Source organism: Homo sapiens, chromosome 6, assembly GCF_000001405.40.
Source record: "Homo sapiens chromosome 6, GRCh38.p14 Primary Assembly".
Taxonomy (NCBI): Eukaryota; Metazoa; Chordata; class Mammalia; order Primates; family Hominidae; genus Homo; species Homo sapiens.
This window is the reverse complement of record NC_000006.12, coordinates 4,332,956-4,348,552: the sequence shown is the minus strand read 5'-3', so window position 1 is coordinate 4,348,552 and position 15,597 is coordinate 4,332,956. Positions and strand designations below refer to the sequence as shown.

At 43.8% G+C, this 15,597-nt stretch overlaps 1 long non-coding RNA gene across 3 annotated transcripts, besides 1 other annotated feature; it reads left to right on the top strand.

Moving 5' to 3' along the window:
• Positions 1 to 1,390: 1,390 nt before the first annotated feature.
• On the top strand, positions 1,391 to 6,799 carry LOC101927888 (uncharacterized). Of its 3 annotated transcripts, NR_187665.1 has the most exons (4): positions 1,391 to 1,543; positions 1,684 to 1,920; positions 2,747 to 2,830; positions 3,704 to 6,799. It is a non-coding gene; the product is annotated as an uncharacterized LOC101927888 (long non-coding RNA). The 3 variants fall into 3 exon arrangements; NR_187664.1 differs by having other exon boundaries at positions 1,391 to 1,920; NR_187663.1 differs by having other exon boundaries at positions 1,391 to 1,920; positions 3,687 to 6,799.
• Positions 14,105 to 14,709: an enhancer, noted in NCBI's record as "H3K27ac-H3K4me1 hESC enhancer chr6:4334078-4334682 (GRCh37/hg19 assembly coordinates)". NCBI's record gives its function as "activates a minimal SCP1, AML or CMV promoter by ChIP-STARR-seq in primed H9 embryonic stem cells {active_cell/tissue: H9 hESC(primed)}" and the evidence as "EXISTENCE:reporter gene assay evidence [ECO:0000049][PMID:30033119]".

Below are 15,597 nucleotides of genomic sequence, written 5' to 3'. Positions count from 1 at the left end.
GCCCTTCCTAATTGTGCAGAAATAGGCATAATGAGCTAGCCAGTTGTGCTGCCTTTTAAAAGAGAGAAAGAGAGAAATGAAAAAGAGTCAGAGTCACTTCAAGAAGAAATGAGCTATCTTTATAAAAGCAGGGGACAACTTCTAGAAATAACCTCCAGAGTGGAAATTTGATGACTGCCTTATTCAAAATACTTGCTGTAACTTAAAATACACTGTCAGGGTATTATAGAAAAGACACTTGTACTTTGCAGGAAAAAATAAGGCTTCACGAGTAGGAAAAATATTTTTAAATGATCTATTTTTCATAAAAATGTAGTGCTCATGATTTGTCACCGAGGCATGGGCGCTGGTTTCATCTAGCTGCTCTCATTTGCTCCGTGATACGCCTGTGCTTTCCAAGGACACCCAAGGGGCTGCACCCCTCCATAAGCAATGTTCAAAAGGAGCACGGGGCAAGTGCTCCCAGCGCCTCATGGCTACAGAGCCCTGGGCAGTGGCACCGGCCGCCTGAGACATGCCCCTGGGACATCTGGGTTTCCTCTGCCCATTTCTCCATGCTGTAAACAAAGAGTGGTCACTGGGTTGCCACCTACCCACAACCATGGCCATACATGCCACCCAGCAGTGGCATGAGTCAAGCCCTATCCCATTCCGTAGGGCAACAAAGCCTGCTAGAAAATCAGAGCCAGTGCTTATGGTTTTCTGCAAAACAGGTAAGATGGCAGGTGAGTTCCTCCAGCCTTTCAGCATCATGCTCACAGTCCCTTCTCTCCGCTCCAGATGACCCTAAGTGTCAGCCCAGCGATGGCGCACAAATCCAAGGATGTCACCCAATTCTACTGATGGCTGAAGTGGGTCTGCCCCCCGAAACAACTCTGGACAGTTTTCTGTCACTCCTGTGACCTCTCCTTTCTCCAGCTATCACCTGTTGGTGGTCCCTGATTCCAGACAATGAGTCAGGGACCCAGAGGGAGAGTCAGCGTAATCCCCGACCTCAAAGGAAAACCTAGACATGAGGGACAGAGACACAGGAGAAACAGCAAAAGAGACAGAGCCAGACAGAGAGACATGCAGGAGACTGCGAGATGGCAAGACAGAGAACCAGAGGAAGAAAGGTAGAAAGAGAGGTGAAGAGAGAAAGACAGGTAAAATAAGGAGAGGGAGGAAAGAGAGCAAATTGAAAAGGATTTTCTTTCTTTTTTCTCTCTGGTGGCTTGAAAGTTCTTTGAAATGATTCATTCTCTGTCCTCTTCAGACAGCAGCAATCAGCCCATGCTCATGTGCAACCTCGAGGAAGCCTTCCTGGCTCAGGGGAGGAATGTGCTCTTTGTCGCTCTCTGGCCATTGGCTGGCCCCTGAGGGCTCCAGGGCGCCCCTGATAACTACATTTAGACAGGCAGTCACAAGCCTGGGGACTGCAGGCACAGTGAGGAAGGTAGGGAAGGGTCTCTCCAAGACAGGCCCACCAGGAGCCCCCACTGGGAATAATGCAGCCCCTCTCAGGGGATGGAGTGTCTGGAATTCCATGGCTGAGGTGCAACAGGTGACTGAAGGTTTGAGGAGGCAACGCTGCCACTCACAGTCAGAAGCAGAGGGGATGAGATGGCCAGATGTGATTGGAATCAGACACAGTGAGGTTTGAATCCTCACTCTGTCCTTTTTGTTGTGTGGCCTGTGTGACAGGTCCCACAGCCTCTCCAGCCTCTGTGGGAAGAAGGATCATCTGATGCCTATGTAATAGAGTTGCTGAAGGAGTGGAAGCAGCTTTGACATTATCAGTGGAACCCACCAGTGCAGACTGCTTCACCAAGGGCACCTGAGGCAGCAGATCTGAGGATTAGGGACGTAGGGAGCTGAAGCCTGGCTGGAGAGGTGGTGCGCACAAGAACCCCCACATTCCCCGACAGGAGCCTGAAAAAGGTAAGTGGCAGCCAACATAGGTTTCACAGCCAAAAGTGGAGGATTTTATGCAGCAGGCCAGTTCTCTGAAAGCCCACTTGTGAAAGGATACGTTCTGGGGATACCCACTCCACCTACTTACAAAAAGCCTGTTTGAAGGGAGAGGCTTTCTGGCCATACTTGGTGAATTTATATATATTTGTCAGGCTGGGCACGGAGACACAAAAATTAGCCAGGCATGGTGGCACGCGCCTGTAGTCTCAGCTACTCAGGAGGCTGAGACAGGAGAATCGCTTGAACCCAGGAAGCAGAGGTTGCAGTGAGCAGAGATCGCTCTACTGCACCCCAGCCTGGGTGACAAAGCAAGACTCGTTCTCAAAAAATAATAATAAAATAAAATAATAAAATAAATATATTCGCCTTGTGCAATATTTCAATGCTTGGCAAGGGAAGTTTTTAATTTTTAACTAATTTCTTTCTAGTCCTTGGTAAAGCCATTTTCTGTCTTGCCTACATTTTAGCTTTTTAAAAACCCTTTCTCCAGTTTTACTGAATTGACTGATTTACCCCCCAAAAAAGTTTGTTTTAGTTTTTTATAAAATTTCTAGCAATAGATTGGGAATGGCAGAGGGAAGGGAAGACTAAGAGACAGAGGAGGAGTAGTCTGAGGGTCAAAGAGGGGCAGTTTGGTCACCAGCCTCCAGTGAGTTCTACCTTTGGGTCTCCCCTTCCTTGTGTCATCCTCTTCCATGCTGGATAGGAATGATTTGTGTAACCAAGAGGACAATGCAGAAATAACATAGCAGTTTCCCCCTTCCTCTCTCTTGGATCACTTACACTGGGATAGCAAGACGCCATGTTGGGAGGACACGGAAGCAGTTCTAGGGAGAGGAGCACATGGCAAGAAGCCAAGGCCTCCTGCCCACAGCCGGTGAGTAGCCATCTAGGGGGTAGATGTTCCAGCTCCAGTCTCAAATGACAAATCACCTTAATTGTGACCTTACAAGAGACTCCAAGCCAGAACCATCCAGCTAATCTGCCCCTGAACTCCTGACCCACAGAAATTATGGGAGATAATAAATACTTGTTGTTCTTTTAAGCCATTAAATTGGGGGATAATTGGTTCTGTAGGCAGACAGAGGAGGACTCTGAAAAGCAAAGGAGGATTTGAGGGACCCAGATCCCTGCAGTCCTGACTTCCCATGGCTCTCCTGGGCCCTGTCTACGCATCTGAATGAATTGCTATAAGCTTCATAAGCAGCTGAAAGGAATATATATTTTATAAGTTGGAAAATTTGATGAATTGGTCATTATGGAAATAGATCCTTAGATGAATTGACTTTCAGTGAATTAGTTTTCTGTGAGTAACCTAGAGCTGGAATATCTAGAGTGTTTTTATATTTTTGAATCATAGAGCCAGGGTTTTAGAAAGCATTTCACCTGAGAGATGTTAAGGTGAGGCTGATATAAATAAGTATCAAAGTAGTAGTAGCTGAGACAGAGGTTTGGGAGACATAATATCCTCTGTCCCCTCTCTCTCATTCTCATTACATTTATCTGGGTCATTGTAAGGCAAATGTAATAAACTCCCTATCCATGGATGACAATACTTATACTTTTTTATTTTTGGTAATCTGTGATTATGTTTGGGAATAAATTTGCCTCTACAGGATGATGATAAGAATGTAATTTGCAGATAGAATAAAAACAGAAATTGGATTCATAAATAATGTCTCCACAGATGCTTAAAAGATGAAAATTCTACTACTTTCACTAACATGTGGAAGCCTAGTTTCTTTTGCAGATACCCTGTGATTGCCAGCAAGTAAACCAGATGCAATTGTGGTTTCCGTGAAGCACAGCTGGAAAACTGCTGCCCCCACGGAGGAAGAGGAAGATGGGAAGATGGTGGTTACTGCACACCAGGCACCAGCCTCGGGGCTATGAGCTGTACAAACATTACCCATTTTATCCTCGTGACCATGTTCTGAGAAGGCTGTCAATGATCTCACTTTATACATGGGGAAATTCATGCAGACAGAGGCTGACTAAATTGCCATGGTCACTCAGCTAGTAGGAACTGGAGCTGTAACTTGAACCCGGGTCTTTTGTTTCTGTGGCTCCTGGTAGCACATGCCGGGCTTGAAGTGAGATCCGGAGGATGTTGGAAACAACGTGTTCCCCATCATGAAAGTCCTTATGATACCTTATGATGCAGAGTTGGCAGCCAGGAGCAGGGGCTTCCAGAAGCATGGCTGACCCTTGTTGGGATCTCGCTCCTGTGAGCCTTGGAACGTCTAGGGAGAAAGAGCAGCCAAATTTAGAGCTGCAGGAGCTTTGAGATGCAGCTCAGGCATCATCTCTGGGAAGTCTTTCCTGGAACCACAGCCTGGGCCCTGTACCTGATTCCCAGCCCCTGTGGCTCTTTTTGCATTTGCTGCCTCTTTTCACAATTCTGTCTCCTTATGTCTTCCACTCTACACGCAAGCCCCTTGAGGGCAGGACCATGACTCAGTCATCCTGTACCCTAGCACCCACCCTGGGTCTGCATCTGGAAGGAGCTCACTAAGTGATTATTGAGCCAAACTGAACTGTAGCAGGAGTGAGCAAAGCTAATTCATGGGTGCAGAATGGGAGCACAGAGCTGCCAGAATCCAGAGACAACTGTAACTGTCCCGGCACAGGGGGCTTCAGGCCGCGGTGAGAGCCACTGAAAGCAAGAGAGCCAGGTGGTGGCTCAGTTCACACTGAGTCCTGCTGAAGAAATAGGCACATCGTGTGTGTTAAAATCAGCACCCCATGCACCTGTAGGAAGAGACTGAGGCACCCTGGAGGCCCCTCCCAATAATTAAAAGGCCCTCTGGGGCCTGTGGGAGCCCTAGCTGATGAAATCACAAAGGCCTCAGCCTCTAAAGTGTTTCCAGTAAAATGCTACCAGGATTTTCCTCCCTTAAATCTGGATGAAAGGGCTGTCTGTGCTACAAAGTGCACACCTGGCGTTGATACGCAGTCTCTTGCTGCCTGTTAACTAACCCACCAGCCGACAAGTTCTGCCCACTGGCAGGAGCAAGGACTTATAAAAAATAGTGCCTCCCTCCCAAGGGCTTATGAGCTGGTTAAGTGCAGAGGACAAATAGAATGAAAGAAAAGGCAATCTCGGCATAGTATTTAGTTAATTCTTCTCTCTCTCTTGTTCCCTCTCTCTCCTTTCTCTCTTCCTCCCTCCTTTCTATGACTTGTCCTCTCCACACAACTCCTTTTCCGTTTTCCCTCCCCTGCCTCCCCACCTTCTTTCTTGACTTCCCATCTTGCTCCCTTTCTTCCTGCCTGCCCATCTGCTTTCCTTTCTTATCTCTGGTGCAAATTCTGCATATAGTCGCTCTCCTCATTTCATGACAGGCTGTCTTCATCAGTTTCTGAGTTCTTTTGTTATTTTATAAAATATTTTACATGCTGTCCTCAAAAAATCCCCTCCCCCAGAAAAGGCCCATTCAAAAGTACTTACTATACGTCCTTAGATAGGCAATGATCTCTGAAATATATATAGGCTTGCTCTATATGTGTTTTTGTAAGTGTACTTTTCTTTCATTAAATATGCAGATCTTAATTGTACAGTTTGAGGTGTTTTGACAAAGGTATATACCAGTAAAACCACCACCCCAACCAAGGTACCGAACACTTTCATCTCTCTGGAAAGTCCCCTTGTGCCACCTTCCAGTCAACTCTCACCCTCCAGAGGCACCCACTGTTCAGATTTCTACATGCATTTTGCCTGTTGCTGAACTGGAACCTCACAGCCTTTTACGTCTGGCTTCTTTCACTTAACATAATGTTTTTAAGTCATCCATGTAGTTCATTCTTTTTTTTGTTGCAGAGCAATATTCCATTGTGTGAATGGATGTACTTTATCCATCAACAGTTGATGAAGTTGGGTTGGTGGCACTTTTTGGCTATCGTGGGTAATGCTGCTCTGGATGTTTCTGCACAAGTCTTTATTGTGGACATGGGTTTCCATTTCTTCTGGGCAAATGCCCAGGAACAGAATTGCTGATTCATTAGGAAGTTATATGTTTAACTTCATAAGAAACTGGAAAACCGCACTCCACAGTGTTCATGCTATTGCACATTGCCCCCAGTGCCATGTGAATGTTTCATTCTTGGGGTCTAGAATATCTTACTGCAGTTTTAATTGGAAGTTCTCTGATGACTTTTGATAGAGTATCTTTTCATGTGCTTATTGGTTATTTATTTCTTCTTTAAAGAAGAGTCTAGATCCTTTTCCCATTTAAAATTGCATTGCTTCTATTTTTACTGTTGATTCTTAGAAGTTCTTTACATATTTTAGATTTATATACAGTAAATATTTTCTCCCAGTCCATGGCTTGCCTTTACCTTTTCTTAATGGTGTCTTTTGATTAACCAGACATTTTAAATTTTCATGAAGCCTATTGTATCGGGGGTTGTTTTTGTTTGTTCATTTATGGTTAGTACTCTTTTTGGTGCTAGCCAGGAAAACTTTGCCTACATTCTCCTAAGCTCATGAATATATTTTTCTATATTTGTTTCTAGGACATTTATAATTCAAACTTTTATGTTCTAGCCTATCACTCATGTATAGTTATGTATAGTATAAATAAGGATTGAAGTTCATTTTTCTTTCCATATACTTATCCAGTTATTCCAGCACCATTTGTTGAAAACACTTTCTTTCCCTCATTGAATTTCCTTGAAGCTTGTGCTCATAACTTATATAACGAGTATTGCGTTACAATTTCCATTATATTTCTTAATTTTTCACTTAACACAATGTTTATATGATCTATCCGCAATGCTGTATTCAGTCATTTGAATTCACTCATTCATTTTATCATTCAATAAATCTGCAGTGGTGAAGAAAACAGAACATGGCTTTATTCTCATGAAATTTATAATCTAGTGAGAGATATTGGCCAAAAAAATTATACACACACACCCAGGTAATGATAAGAGCTATAAAGAGAAATAAAGCAAGACAAACAGGAAGAGATTTAACGGGAGGTGCTATTTAAATCGGGCAATGGGTCAGGAAACCTTGCTCCTGGTCCTGACATTGGAGGAGAGAGCCATGGGCTCATTCAGCCTTGAGTTGAGCAATTGCTTCCAGAAGAGCTAAAAGGCCAGAGGGCCCAAAGGGTGGCAGATGAAGGGGTGAAGGGCAAGAAATGAGATCAAGGACCACATCATATACGACCCTAGAGGCCAAGGTAAGGACACTGGATTTTGTTTTAAGAATGCTGGGAATCCACTGGAGGGTTTTGAGTGGGAGAGTGATATGATATCATTTGTATACTTAAAGTATTTGGATACAAAGAAGAAGGGGGTGAGGAGAATGGACGTGGGAGGGCAAGTAAAGCAGGAATCGCCATGAGCAGGGAGATATGATGTGGCCTGGGCCAGGGTGAGAGTAGTGGATACATTCAGAAGTGGTCATATCCTGATAGACTTTGAAAGTAGAGCTGATGGATTAAATATGAAGTGGAGAGGGAAGATGAGGACTCAAGGGTAACAATAATAAAGTGTGGCACATTCAGGAAGGGACAGGTTTGAGGGAGGAATAGCAAGTGTGATTTTAAAGAGTTTGAGTTTGGGAGGCCTGCTAGTGATAGAAATGGAGATGTTAAAGAGGCTATTGTGTATAGAAGCCTGGAATCCAGGCGGGGAGGCTGTGGTCAGAATCAAAAGTTTGGGAGTCATTAGTGTGCAGATAATATTTGTGAAATCACAGAACTAAGAGATCACTTACAAAGTGAGTGACCCTGGAGGAAGAGTCTGAGGACGCTCCACTGGGGAGGCTTCACTATTCTGAGGTTCGAAGCATGGGAGGAGCACCCAGCCAAGGAAGCTGAGGACGTAAAGGAAAAGCCAAGAGGCGGTGGGATTCCATGAGCCAGGTGGAGGGAGTGTCTGCATAGGAGAGCCTGCCCCAATGTGCTGGAAGCTCTTACCAGGTGGAGGTAAATCAGGGCAGAGAATTGCCCTCGAGATTTGTCCCTGTGGGAACATTGCTGACCTTCGAGATGTCAGGCTTGAGGAAGTGGCAGGACGGGAGACTATTTGGAGTGTGTACTGGAAAGAAAACAAGTGTTGAGGAAAGACTGACGGTAAATAGGTTGAGCAGCTCTAGTCCGAAAATCTGAAATGATCCAAAATCTGAAATGTTTTGAGCACCGACATGATACCACAAGTGAAAAATTCTATGCCCAACCTCATGTGATGGGTCACAGTTGAAATGCAGGCACACGACACCCAGTTTATTCTGTGTCCCCAGGGGAAAAAAGATCCTCCCAGGCCCCTTCAGCTGCCATCTATCTTTTTGGCAGACACCCAGATTCCCCACGCAAGCACGCTCATGAACAATAATAAAATAGCACTGATCCAGGCGAGACACGCTGACTGCAGGTTCCCCTCAATGCTCCACAGGAGGCCAAGACCTCTGTGCATTACTTACTGTGTGTGTGTGTGTGTGTGTGTGTGTGTGTGTGTGTGTGTGTGTGTGTGTGTGTGTGTGTATTCTCTACTCTGTGGGATAAAGATATTGTTGAAAATGTCAAAAAGGCCTGCAGATAACCCTATGGGTAACAGTGATTTAAAAAAAAGAGAAAGTATTTATGTTTATAGCACAGGAAGTCAAGCTGTTGGAGAAACTGGACAATGGTGCATGAAACATCTTACAGAGGAGTATGGTGTTGGAATGACCACAATATGTGATCTGAAGAAATAGAAGGATAAAACTAATGCCATTCTATGCTAAAAGTGATAAGCAGAAGTTAATGAAAAAGTAGGAAAACACTGGGTAAAGATGAACACGAAGGTCTTGATCATGTATTGAAAGAGTTGATCTGTCAGCATCCCTGTGAACACATGCCACTTAATGGTATGCTGATTATGAAACAAGAGAAGATCTATCACAATAAACTGAAAATTGAAGGGAAGTGTGAATATTCAACAGGCTGGCTGCAGAAATTTTAGAAAAGACGTGGCATTATATGTTTAAAGATTTGTGGTGATAAAGCATCTGCTGATCACAAAGTAGTAGAGAAATTCATTGACAAATTTGCCAGAATCATCACTGATGAAAATCTGATGCCAGAAACAGTCTATAACACTGATGAAACATCCTTGTTGCGGTGTTACTGCCCCAGAAAGACATTAACTCCAGCTGATGAGACAGGAATGAAGGATGCCAAGGACAGAATAACGGCTGGGATGTGCTAATGCAGCAGGCACGCGTAAGTGTACACTTGCTGTGATGGGCAGACTTGCATTCATGCTGTTTTCAAGAAGTGAATTTCTTACCAGTCCAATTGTTATGCTAACAAAAATACATGGATCACCTGGGGCATAGTTTTTGATTCATTTCACAAACATTTTGTACCAGTGGCTTGTGCTCACTGCAGGGAAGCTGGACTGGATGATCGACTGAAAGATTTTGTTTTTCCTTCAACAACTGTTCTGCTCATCCTCCAGCTGAAATTCTCAACAAAATCATGCTTATGCTGTGTCATTTCCTCCAAATATGACATCATTAATTCAGCCATGTGACCAGAGAATCCTTAGATCAATCAAAAGTGATTACAGAAACACTTTCTTGAACAGCATGCTAGCAGCAGTGAACGGAGGTGTGGTTGTGGGGGGTTTTCAAAAGGAGTTTAACATGAAGAATGCCATATATGCCATTGCCAATGCATGAAACACAGTGACTAAGACACAGTCGTGCATGCCTGGCACAACCTCTGGTCTGTAACTATGTTTAATGATAATGATGAACAAGGTCGTGTCTTTGAAAGATTCTGTATGTCAAGTGAGAAAAAAAAGATGGCTGACTTCCTTACATATGGTAAAAATATTCCTTCAGAGTCCATTAGCAAGCTGGAAGAAGTGGATATTGAAGATTTTAACATTGATAATGAGGCTCCAGTTATTCGTTCACCGACCAATGATGAAGCAGTAAAAATGGTTCTGAATCAAGATGATTCTGATAATAGTGACAGTGAGGACGATGTTAACGCTTCAGAAAAAGTGCCTAGAGACAACATGGTGAAGATGTGTGAAGGACTTATCGAAGGACTAGGGCAGCATGCATTCGTAATAGAACGTGAAGTCATGTCAGTTTATAAAATCAAAAAGAGATTTCTAAGACAAAACCCGCAGATAACGAGGCAGATGACTGGAGGAAACATTTAGAAAGGCCACTCAGCAGAATGCCTCCTCATCCCTAGAGGACACACTTCCTGGTCCCTCAATGCCTCTAATGTTTCCCTCACCTAAAAAAAAAAAGAAAAAAATTACAGTTACAGTAAACTTTTACTCCAAGCAAGGCATCATAAGTGGAGACTGAAAGGTTGCTTACTGTTGCTGTTGTTTAACAGTTGTTCCAGGTGTCTGGTGATGCTACTGTGCTGCTTACACTTTATTCTCTCACTGTAATAATGGTATGTCAGTAAGTGTAAGAGAATGACTGCTTATCGGCATTATATAAATTCAGAGTCAGGAATGATGGTGATGCTAAACAACTACAGATTGTCCACAGAGATGGCCGAGATAGTCACGCCTTTGCTTTCTGATAGGTCAATGTCGACACACTTTGTTTTATGCACAAAATTATTTAAAATCATGCATAAAATTACTTTCAGTCTATAGGTATAATAAATATGCAAAATATATATGAATTTCATGTTTAAACTTGGGTCCCATTCCCAAGATATCATTATATGCAAATATTCCAAAATTCAAAAGAAATTCAAAACCTGAAACTCTTCTGGTCCCAGGCATTTTGGATAAGGCTACTCAACCCGTATAATGTAGGGTCCAGCCCTATAGGCCTCTTCGTGTGCGGAGACGAGAGATCGTAGGAAAAATAAGACACGAGACAAGGCCAGGTGCAGTGGCTCACACCTGTAATCCCCGTACTTTGGGAGACACAGGCGGGCGGATCACGAGTTCAGGAGATTGAGACCATCCTGGCTAACATGGTGAAACCCCCGTCTCTACTAAAAATACAAAAAATTAGCCCGGCGTGGTGGCGTGTGCCTGTAGTCCCAGCTACTTGGGAGGCTGAGGCAGAAGAATGGCATGATCCTGGGAGGCAGAGCTTGCAGTGAGCCAAGATCACACCACTGCACTCCAGCCTGGGAGACAGAGCAAGACTCCATCTCAAAAAAAAAAAAAAAAGAGAGTAAGAAAGACAGCTGGGCCCAGGTGGCCACTATCACCAAAGCGTGGAATCCAGTAGTGGCCTCGAATGCCTGGACACACTGCTATTTATTGTATACAAGGCAAGGGGTCAGGGTAAGGAGTGTGAGTCATCTCAAATGATTGATAAGGTCAAGCAAATCAAATGTCCATGTGACAGGGGGCCCTTTGTGGTAGCCGAAGCAGAGAGGGAGGACAGCATACGTCAGCATTTTTTCTATGCACTTATCAGAAAGATCAAAGACTTTAATACTTTCACTAACTCTGCTACTGCTATCTTCTAAGAACTTAAAAAGAGGAGCCAGGTATACAGGCAGAACATGAAAGTGGACAAAGAGCATGACCACTGAAGCACAGCACCACAGGGAGATGTTTAAGCCTCCAGACGACTGTGGGCAGGCCTGGCTAATGTCAGACCTCCCACAAGAGGCTGGTGGAGCAGAGTGTTCTCTAACTCCCCCAGGAAAAGGGAAACTCCCTTTCCCGGTCTGCTAAGTAATGGGTGCTTTCCCAGGCACTGGCGCTACAGCTAGACCAAGGAGCCCTCAAGCAGCCCTTATCTGGGCGTGACAGAGGGCTCACACTCTTGTCTTTTGGTCACTTCTCACAATGTCCCTTCAGCTCCTAACACTGTATGGCCTGGTTTTTCTTTGGTTATAAGAATAATACAAAGGTTAATACTGAAAACTAATGATTGATAATATCCATAATCATCTCTATATCCTATTTCTAATACAACTTTCTCTTATCCTAACTATTTTCTTAATTATATTGGAACATCTTGTGCCTTCAGTCTCTTGCTTCGGCACCTGGGTGGCTTTCTGCCCACAGTGTAAGTCTTCGAAGGAGTTTTGTGTCAAATCTATTCATTTTCCCCCTTAACACTGGTACTTTTTAGATCTCATTTAAGAAATTTATACTTGCCCCAAAGTGACATAAGTTTTGTATTTTCTTGCACTAGCTGTGAGAATGGTTTTCACAGCTAAACTTTTAATCCAGTTAGTTTATTTGTGTGTATGATACGAGGTAAGACACTTTTCCTCTCGTCTAGCAGAGTTTATACCTTCTGCTCTCTCCTCAAAACTTCTTCCCCCATTTCTTCCTCATACTGTGATTTCTACCTCACAGAGAAAAGGGAAGCAATACTGTGAAAATGTCCACAAACTGCAACCCTGCATCCGCCCGCCTACCTGCAACTGTGTCTATGTCCTTGAACTCTCTCCTATTCATAGAAGTGAGTTTTCCATGTTCCCACCAAGGGCAACCCCTCAATCCCACCTTCTTTGTCTACCCAATGCTTCCTCTCTCCTCCATTATCAGCTTTTCCCTCTACTAAATTTAACTCACTTCTCAAGAATATTGTGAGTTCTTCTTTAAAGTCAACAACAACCCATGCTGACCCTCCTTCTCCCTCCTGATACCTCACTTCTCTTCTTTTTCTGCATCAAAACTTCTCCAAGCATTGTCTATAGTCACTGTATCCAATTTCTCTCGTTTCATTCTCCCTTGAATCATGGTTTTGCCCCAACCAAGTACACATTGAAAGTAAAGCTGACAGAATTTGCTAATGTACATTGTTCCTTTTCAATTCATGAATGACCTCCACATTCCTATATCCAATGGTCAATGTTCAGTCTTTATTTTCCTTAACCTGTCATTTAAAATTATTGTTCTCCCTCTCTTCCATGAAACACCTTCATTCAATGTTTCACTCTCTCATTTTTCTCCCCGCTCTCTGGCCACGTTGGAGAGCTCAAGACGCAATCCTTAGTCGCCTTTTCTATCTGTATTCACTCCCTTTGGAAGGCCAGCCAGCCTCATGGCTCTAACGCCATTTGTTCACTGATGACTTTCTGGTATGCATCTCTAGCCTGTGCCTCTCTCCTGAATTCTAGGCTCATATATTACACTGCATTTTCACCTCATTTTGGTGTTCAACAGATATCTCAAACTTAGCATGTCCATGAGCAAACTTCCAATCTTTCCTTTCAAACTGGCTCTGCACAATCTACCTCCTAAAACACAAGTGCATTCTTCCTGTTGTTCAGAACAAAAATCTTGGATCCTTTCTTAACTCTTTTTGTTGTTGTTGTTCTCTCAAGCTTCGCATCCTATCCATCAGGAAATTCTGTAGGCTCTATTGTCAAAATATTTCCAGAATCAAACTAATTTTTAGTACCACCCAAGTCACAACCATCATAATCTGTTGCCTGGATTTGCTGAAACTCTCTCTGTATATAGGTCTTATAGCATGTTCTTTAATAAAGTTTAAAATATATTTTGCATAAAGTTTTTGTTTTACCTTCTTCTAGATTAGTTCCTGGATATTTTATCATCTTGTTGCCATCGTAAATGTGTCTTGTTTCCTGGTAAATATTTTAGGTGATTATTTCTGGTAAAGTGTATGTGTAAATTGACCTTGTATTCAGCTACCTTGTTGAACTCTCTAAATATGCTGATCGTTTGTTTATTAAGCCTGGTAGATTTTCTATAAAGATCATCTGGAAATAGTGATAGTTTTATCTCTTCCATTTTAATCCTCACATTTCTTTTTGGTTTTATTCTATTGCATTTTCTAGTAGCAGCATTTGTTTTACATTAAAATGTAAAGCAGGCAAGAAAACAAAAATTTCAGGTAAAATTAATTCTAATAATACATTTCAGAGGAGGAGCCAAGATGGCCGAATAGGAACAGCTCGGGTCTACAGCTCCCAGCGTGAGCGACGCAGAAGACGGTGATTTCTGCATTTCCATCTGAGGTACCGGGTTCATCTCACTAGGGAGTGCCAGACAGTGGGCGCAGGTCAGTGGGTGCGTGCACTGTGCTTGAGCCGAAGCAGGGTGAGGCATTGCCTCACTCGGGAAGCGCAAGGGGTCAGGGAGTTCCCTTTCCTAGTCAAAGAAAGGGGTGACAGACGGCACCTGGAAAATTGGGTCACTCCCACCCAAATACTGCACTTTTCCGACGGGCTTAAAAAACGGCGCAGCACAAGATTATATCCCGCACCTGGCTCAGAGGGTCCTACGCCCACGGAGTCTCACTGATTGCTAGCACAGCAGTCTGAGATCAAACTGCAAGGCGGCAACAAGGCTGGGAGAGGGGCGCCGGCCAGTGCCCAGGCTTGCTTAGGTAAACAAAGCAGCCGGGAATCTCCAACTGGGTGGAGCCCACTACAGCTCAAGGAGGCCTGCCTGCCTCTGTAGGCTCCACCTCTGGGGGCAGGGCACAGACAAACAAAAAGACAGCAGTAACCTCTGCAGACTTAAATGTCCCTGTCTGACAGCTTTGGAGAGAGCAGTGGTTCTCCCAGTACGCAGCTGGAGATCTGAGAACGGGCAGACTGCCTCCTCAAGTGGGTCCCTGACCCCTGACCCACGAGCAGCCTAACTGGGAGGCACCCCCCAGCAGGGGCACACTGACACCTCACACGGCAGGGTATTCCAACAGACCTGCAGCTGAGGGTCCTGTCTGTTAGAAGGAAAACTGACAAACAGAAAGGACATCCACACCAAAAACCCATCTGTACATCACCATCATCAAAGACCAAAAGTAGATAAAACCACAAAGATGGGGAAAAAACAGAATAGAAAAACTGGAAACTCTAAAAAGCAGAGCGCCTCTCCTCCTCCAAAGGAATGCAGTTCCTCACCAGCAACGGAACAAAGCTGGACGGAGAACAACTTTGACGAGCTGAGAGAAGAAGGCTTCAGACGATCAAATTACTCTGAGCTATGGGAGGACATTCAAACCAAAGGCAAAGAAGTTGAAAACTTTGAAAAAAATTTAGAAGAATGTATAACTAGAATAACCAATACAGAGAAGTGCTTAAAGGAGCTGATGGAGCTGAAAACCAAGGCTCAAGAACTACCTGAAGAATGCAGAAGCCTCAGGAGCTGATGCGAAGAAAGGGTATCAGCAATGGAAGATGAAATGAATGAAATGAAGCAAGAAGGGAAGTTTAGAGAAAAAAGAATAAAAAGAAATGAGCAAAGCCTCCAAGAAATATGGGACTATGTGAAAAGACCAAATCTACGTCTGATTGGTGTACCTGAAAGTGATGGGGAGAATGGAACCAAGTTGGAAAACACTCTGCAGGATATTATCCAGGAGAACTTCCCCAATCTAGCAAGGCAGGCCAACGTTCAGATTCAGGAAATACAGAGAACGCCACAAAGATACTCCTCGAGAAGAGCAACTCCAAGACACATAATTGTCAGATTCACCAAAGTTGAAATGAAGGAAAAAATGTTAAGGGCAGCAAGAGAGAAAGGTCGGGTTACCCTCAAAGGGAAGCCCATCAGACTAACAGTGGATCTCTCAGCAGAAACCCTACAAGTCAGATGAGAGTGAGGGCCAATATTCAACATTCTTAAAGAAAAGAATTTTCAACCCAGAATTTCATATCCAGACAAACTAAGCTTCATAAGTGAAGGAGAAATAAAATACTTTACAGACAAGCAAATGCT